Source organism: Homo sapiens, chromosome 10 (genome assembly GCF_000001405.40).
Source record: "Homo sapiens chromosome 10, GRCh38.p14 Primary Assembly".
In the NCBI taxonomy this organism is placed as follows: Eukaryota; Metazoa; Chordata; class Mammalia; order Primates; family Hominidae; genus Homo; species Homo sapiens.
This window is the reverse complement of record NC_000010.11, coordinates 32,116,668-32,123,679: the sequence shown is the minus strand read 5'-3', so window position 1 is coordinate 32,123,679 and position 7,012 is coordinate 32,116,668. Positions and strand designations below refer to the sequence as shown.

The 7,012-nt window shown below is 46.4% G+C and overlaps 1 annotated feature.

Moving 5' to 3' along the window:
• Window positions 220-719: an enhancer, noted in NCBI's record as "H3K27ac hESC enhancer chr10:32411889-32412388 (GRCh37/hg19 assembly coordinates)". NCBI's record gives its function as "activates a minimal SCP1, AML or CMV promoter by ChIP-STARR-seq in naive H9 embryonic stem cells {active_cell/tissue: H9 hESC(naive)}" and the evidence as "EXISTENCE:reporter gene assay evidence [ECO:0000049][PMID:30033119]".

Here is a 7,012-nt window from a genome sequence, read left to right as displayed (position 1 = left end):
GCTGGGCGTTTGCCTTATTTGAACATGTTTTGAACAGTTGGTCACCTTTGATTGGCCAAAACTTGATGATTGGCACAAGCATAGCTTGCAGTCTGTTCATACATCCAGTTAGTTTACAGTTCATTATGTACAGAGATATCTTTAGGCTGAACTTAAAATAACGTAAGGAGGCAGCTTTAAGCTAAACTTAGTTTAACAAATGATAGAGCATAAATTCAAACTAGCTAAAGCAAAAAGTGGAAATTAGTCAAGGACACCTGTGTGTCTCATGGAGTCCAAGAAGAGAAATGAGATCGGGCCTTAGGGAGGAACAGAACCAGGATCTTAAATCTTTCTGCTGCTCTGCTAGCTGAACATCTGCTTCCTTCCTTCCCTGCCTCAGCCCACCAGGCCCTGAAATCCTACCTTAATCATACCATGTTACTGCTCCAAGCACAGAGATCCCCAAGAGAGGTGAAACTGATGGGAGGGGCAGGCCATCTGGAGCCACCGCTGCCATCACACCAGCTGCAGCAGGGAGGAGTGGCCAGCGCTCCTTGCTCTGTGGAGCCCGTGGGAGCTGGGAACAAGTGGGAGCCTCATCCCTTCTAAGTTGGGGTGAGAGCTTCCTGGGTGCTGCTGCAGCCACCCAAACCTCAGCTGCAGACCTGGGCCTCCCACTCCACAGAGTAGGCAAGATCCCCACGCTCCCAGGCACAGCTGCAGCTGCCCAAACTGCAGCTGCAGACCTAGGCAACCCTGCACTCTTGGAGGCCCAGGAAGTCACCCCCACCGCCACCCTTATAGGCTTGGAAGTGCCTGCTCCACTGCCTGGCTTCTCCCTGTTGTCAGTGCCTGGTCCGATCTTGGAGCAAAGCTGGGGGGAGCCTGCGCACTATGAATGGCAGCAGGAGGCAGACAGATTCCTGGGCAGAAGGGGGTGGGTCCCTGGTGAGGTCCCACCTTCAGGCCAGGGAGGGCCTGAAAGCTGGAAGCTGGGCTCCCAGTCCTGCAGACCAGAGTGGGAGCTTGTGGTGGCTTTTCTGGGCCCATCCATGGCTGCTCACGGACCAATTGTTGCACACTTCCTCCTCTCGGAGGCCCATAAAAGCCCCAAGCTCAGCCAGAACTGAGCAGATGTTAGGACAACCAGCAGCAGAGAGAAGCTATCCACTCTAAGGCCTCCTCTATGCTGAGAGCTTCAGAGACTTGCAGAGACATTGGGACAGCCAGCTGCGGAGAGGAGCAACCCACTCCAGGGCCTCCTCTCTGCTGAGAGCTGCAGAGACAACAGGACAACCTGCCTGCAGAGAAGAACTTCCCACTCCAGAGTCTCCTCTCTGCTAGGAGGTGAACACTCATTAGGACACCCTGGCTGCGGAAAGGAGCTGCCCCCTGCGGGTCTCCTCTGAGCTGTTCTGTTGTTCAGTAAGGCTCCTCTTCATCTTGCTCACCCTCCACTTGTCTGTGTACCTCATTCTTCTTGGTCCCAGGATGAGAACTCAGGGCCCATCAAATGGCAAGACTAAAAGAGTTGTAACATAAACAGGGCAGAAACCTGCCCCCTGCTCATCATGTTGTGGGTGAACAGAATGAGACAAGAGCTGTGGCCTTTTGGGGAGCCCAGACCTGGGAGCTCCCTGAGCCAGGGATGTGACTTTCTCTTTGGGGCCCTGAGGTTCCTGGTGTCTCCAAGCTTCTGGGCACCACTGCAATCCCCAGTGCCAGCTGAGGAAGCTGCTTGTGGTGCACCTGGTCTTGCTGCAGCCTCATGGAGAGCTGGTGCTCATGCCAGCACCTGGAGCTGCTTGCCCCCTGGCTGGCATACCTGACTGTGCACAGAGGTCAGACCTCACACTTGCTCATACACTCCTTGCTGTTCCGCACCTGGCTCACCCTTGGCAGGCATGGGATCCAGGCCGGCAGCATGAGCAGAGTGCAACCTGCCAGGCCAAGTGGGCAGAATGAGCCCGGTGGGCCCAAGCAAATATCGGGCAATGGCCCCACAGCCACAGAGGTTTCCAGCCAGAAAAGCAACACCCAACAATCCTGTAACAAAACTACTCTTTGTTTTCCCCCAAAGCCTTGACATGTCAGGAAGGGCAGTAAGTAGTGGCTCTAAAATCCCTGCTGCTTCTGCATGGGTACCCTTTCCTCTCCCTCTGGAATCCCTGGAAACCAAGATTTCTGACCATATCCTGAAGGGACCTGTGCTTTTGTTTCCTTGGCCTGCTGAAATCCTATTCACCCTGCAGGGTCCAGCTCCAATCTATGAAATTCTTCCACCCCGGTCCTTTGCCTACACTGCTAAGTACGTTATTAATCTTCCAAATTCCTCTCCACAGTGCTGGGAAGAGTCGGCCTTAGCTCCTAGTAGACACTTATTAAGTATGTGCCAAATGGAAGCAAACTAATGGGCTAACAGACCCCCCTCAACCCCAGGACCTCTCACACAAACTATGGCAACATTGACAGCTCTAGGGATTGCCACAAGGAGCTTGTGCCCACACCATTATTTTAAATCAAACAAAGAGGCAGCTATTACAACATGTAAATCCACCCTTTTAGATAGAAAAGGAGGTAAAATAATGATCCAAAGTGTAATCATAGTAGATTCGTTGCCTGACACATACCACAAGTCAATATGCTGAGAGGTTGGGTTGCAGCAGAGAAAAATGTAATCCTAGGGTCACCAAACCAGGAGATGGGAGGGAACCTCAAATCCATCTCCCCAAGGAATTTGAAGTTAGGGTTTTTAAGGGGTAGTCAAACTGGTTGCTGGAATTTAGGGTCTGAGAAACATCTTAAGCAATCCTTAAACAAAAGCCTTATGAGTCTAATGTCAAAGATCCCGTCTGTAGGAGCAATGGGATGCAGACGTCAGCACCTAGTGCACCTGACTTTTAATAACAAGGAAGTAGGTTAGAGTGTAGCCTGATGAACGCTTAATTGTAACTATATTTTTGTCCAGAACTATGGACAAAATCCTTGCAGTCCTTCTCAACCCTGTAGGAATGGTTTCAAAGATAACATTGAAAAGACACAGTCATGTTTTTCCTCCTTTTAAGTGTTTTCATTCAAGTTAAATATCTAAGCATTGGCCTTGTGTGACGGCTCATGCCTGTAATCCCAGCATTTTGGGAGACCAAAGCAGGAGGTTTGCTTGTGGCCAGGAGTTAGACACCAGCCTGGGGAACATAGTGAGACCCCGATCTCTACAAAAAATTCAAAAATTAAAAATAAATTTTAAAAAGCATTTAAGTACCACTTCTGCTCTTCCAAGTCCTCCACTGGTTCCCAGCTTGGCAACTTCAAGGTACCGTTTGATCCCAACTTTAACAGGGGCCACCTCCCTCTTTGTCAAACTTCAAAGAGTAGGATGTAGGAAAAAGCAAACATTTTTTTTTTTTTTTTTTTTGCCAAAATTCTTTCTTTGAAATTTGTTTTTCTGTGATGTCTGGGAATTTCTAGTGAGAAACGATAAAGTAAAATAAGACAATCTCACTCCAGCCTTTGCCTTCAAACCCCCACTTCATCACCTGTGTTTCTGCATCACCCCCAAACAGCTAGTGCTGTGTTCTGACCTTTTCTTTCTCTGCATTCCTACCCTGGCACCAGCTGCAAACAGAGTCAGACATTGCCCCTGTAGGCCTTAAAAACTGATGAACAAAGATAGCCAGATGCTCTCTTCTATTGTGAGGAAATGGGGTGGGGGCATTTTTCCCTGGCAGAGACTCTCAAGTATGTTACCTTCCACTTTGAGCCATAATCACCATCATTCCCAACAACAAAACGGTAGTTCCCCCCACACAAAGTCACTGTGCTGCAAGGACCCTGTCTCCCTTAACGCTGCAAGCCAGTGGCCTATGTCTGCTGGCTCACAGGGACCCCTGGCATCGAATGTCTTACCCAGGGAGATAGTACCCTGTGGTGGGAGCAAAAGTCACCTCTTTTTTTTTTAAATTTATTTTTATTTTACTTTAAGCTCTGGGATACATGTGCAAAACATGCAGGTTTGTTACATAGGTATACATGTGCCATGGTGGTTTGCTGCACCCATCAACCCATCATCTAGGTTTTAAGCCACACATACATTAAGTATTTGTCCTAATGTTCTCTCTCCCCTTGCCCCACAACCCTTGACAGGCCCCAGTGTGTGATGTTCCCCTCCCTGTGTCCATGCGTTCTCATTGTTCAACTCCCACTTATAAGTGAGAACACGTGGCGTTTGGTTTTCTGTTCCTGTGTTAGTTTGCTGAGAATGATGGCTTCCAGCTTCATCCATGTCCCTGCAAAGGGCATGAACGCACCCATTTTTAGGGCTGCATAGTATTCCATGGCATATATGTGCCACATTTTCTTTATCCAGTCTATCATTGATGGGCAAAAAATCACCTTTTTGCTCCTGGCAACCTTTGCCCAGAGCATTCTGGTTTGTCTTTGTGTGTAACAACTCAAGGGAGATGGCTTTTTGTCCCGAGATAGCACTTTCAATATGATGGTGCTTATGTGGTACTCAAGTAAGCACAACATAAACAGTATTGCTGAGAAGGACAGTTCACGTTTATGTTTTAATTTGGTGGAGTATTATTGTTTCTTTGTCATTTGGTTGAATCACCATCTTTGGCTATTTTAGGAAAGAACAGAAAGGGAGCAGTTTTCTGATCCACCTGACAAATTCTGGGCCTGCACTCTCCCTTGGAGTCCACAGGATTTAATTTAAAGAGCCAGAAGACTAAGTTTAAATAGAAAAGGATATTTTGAAAAAAGGCAAAGTGAGACTGTTTTTTTAAATGAAACCTGAAAACGTACCTTGAAAGAGATTCCATGACTAAAGCCGCCTAAGGGAGTTTATTAAATGATTATTCTTTGATTCTTTGTTTCATTTTTGTCTTGGGTAAGAGCAATCCAGGTTTCTCTTCAGAATATGATTTTTTTTTTGACGGAGTCTCCCTCTGTAGCTCAGGCTGGAGTGCAGTAGCATGATCTCGGTTCACTGTAATCTCTGCCTCTCGGGTTCAAGCAATTCTCCTGGCTCAGCCTCCTGAGTAGCTGGGATTACGGGCGCCTACCACCATGCCCGGCTAATTTTGTATTTTTAGCAGAGACAGGGTTCCACCATGTTGGCCAAGCTGGTCTCAAACTCCTGACCTCAAGTGATCCACCTGCCTCAGCCTCTCAAAGTGCTGGGGTTACAGGCGTGAGCTATTGTGCCCAGCCAGAATATGATTTTTGATACCATTATTAGTTGGACTTCATATTCTCTTTCACCATCAGCAAGCAATTTTGTTTTCTATATAGTTATAATTTATTTACAAACAGAAGGTGTTTTATGGAGACCTTTGTTTACCAAGCATAGCTCAAGAGTACACTGTATTTCTGGAATTCTCTCGTCTTCCTTTGAAGACCTACCTAAGAAGTCTACACTGATGGATGTGTGAAAGACTTCAAGTTTCTTAATATGGCTCATTACTTTCATGAGAAGAAAAGGTTACTATAGACTTAGTTAAAGCAAGAAAAAGGCTTTCTATTGGAGTGGTCATTTCACAGTTTTATATCAAAATTATTTTATTTTAAAGGGAATTACAGGTAAACCTCACAAGGCTGGGCACAGTGGCTCATGTCTGTAATCCCAGCACTTTGGGAGGCCAAGGTCAGAGGATTACTTGAGGCCAGGAGTTTGAAACCAGCCTGGGCAACATAGCAAGACCTGTCTCTACAAAAAATTAGCTGGGCATGGGTGGTGCACACCTGTAATCCCAGCTAGTCGGGTAGCTGAGGCAGGAGGACCACTTGAGCCCAGGATTTTGGGACTGCAGTGAACTATGATTGTGCCACTGCAGTCCAGCGTAGACAACAGAGAAACCCATCTCTGAAATATAGAACAAACTACAACAAAACAACAACAACAAAATCACATGAACATGGAATTTTCTTTGTGAACGCTTACTGACTTGGTTTCTAAAGGGCAGTGGAGTTATTTGTCTGTACCTGATTCAACAATATCCATCTTAAAATTCATGAAGATCCAATTAAAATGCCCCTTATTCCCTCCTGAACCCCCTTCACCCTCTGCCACACACAGATATTAAATTGTGACATCCCCCAGCACAACAGCATGTGCCCCCAATCTATTCCAATCTATCATAATCCTTTGTGTACAGTCCCAAGTCACCTAGTAGACGATGTGTTCTTTGAGTGCAGGGACTATGTTGTATTCTTCTTTATTTTATTTTTTTATTTTTTTGAGATAGAATTTCTCTTTTGTAGCCCGCCCAGGCTGGAGTGCAATGATGCAATCTCGGCTCACTGCAACCTCCGCCTCCCGGTTCAAGCAATTCTTCTGCCTCAGCCTCCCAAGTAGCTGGGATTACAGGCATATGCCACCATGCCTGGCTAATTTTTGTATTTTTAGTAGAGATGGGGTTTCGCCATGTTGGTCAGGCTGGTCTCGAACTCCTGACCTCAGGAGATCGACCCACCTCGGGCTTCTAAACTGCTGGAATTACAGGCATGAGTCACCATGCCTGGCCAAATGTCATACTCTTCTATTTTGCATCTTCCACTGAACCTATGACTGTGGCTGGTACATCCGAAAAGAAATTAAATACCTGCTGGATTTAACTTATTTCAATGTCTCCACAGAATCCCATTATCCTCATAGCACTCTTTAGAAGTTGCTATTTTCCCTCTATAGTGACAGTGTACTGTGACTGTCACTCTAGAGTTATTGCAAAAAGGAGAGAAGTTTAGGAGGGACACAGTAACACACATGACATTTGCCTTTGTTGTCTTCCTGCTATTTTTAATAAACATTTTCCCCAGGTGCCCAATTCTGCCATGGAACCCCCACCTTGGCATCTCATAAGGGCCTGCTCAGTGCCATCAGTTCCTGTGACTTTTGTATTTATTTATTTGTTTCAAATGTCTTTTATATTGACTTTTTTTTTTTTTTTTTTTGAGACAGGGTCTTGCTCTGTTGCCCAGGCTGGAGTGCAGTGGCACGATCTCAGCTCACTGCAACCTCTGTCTT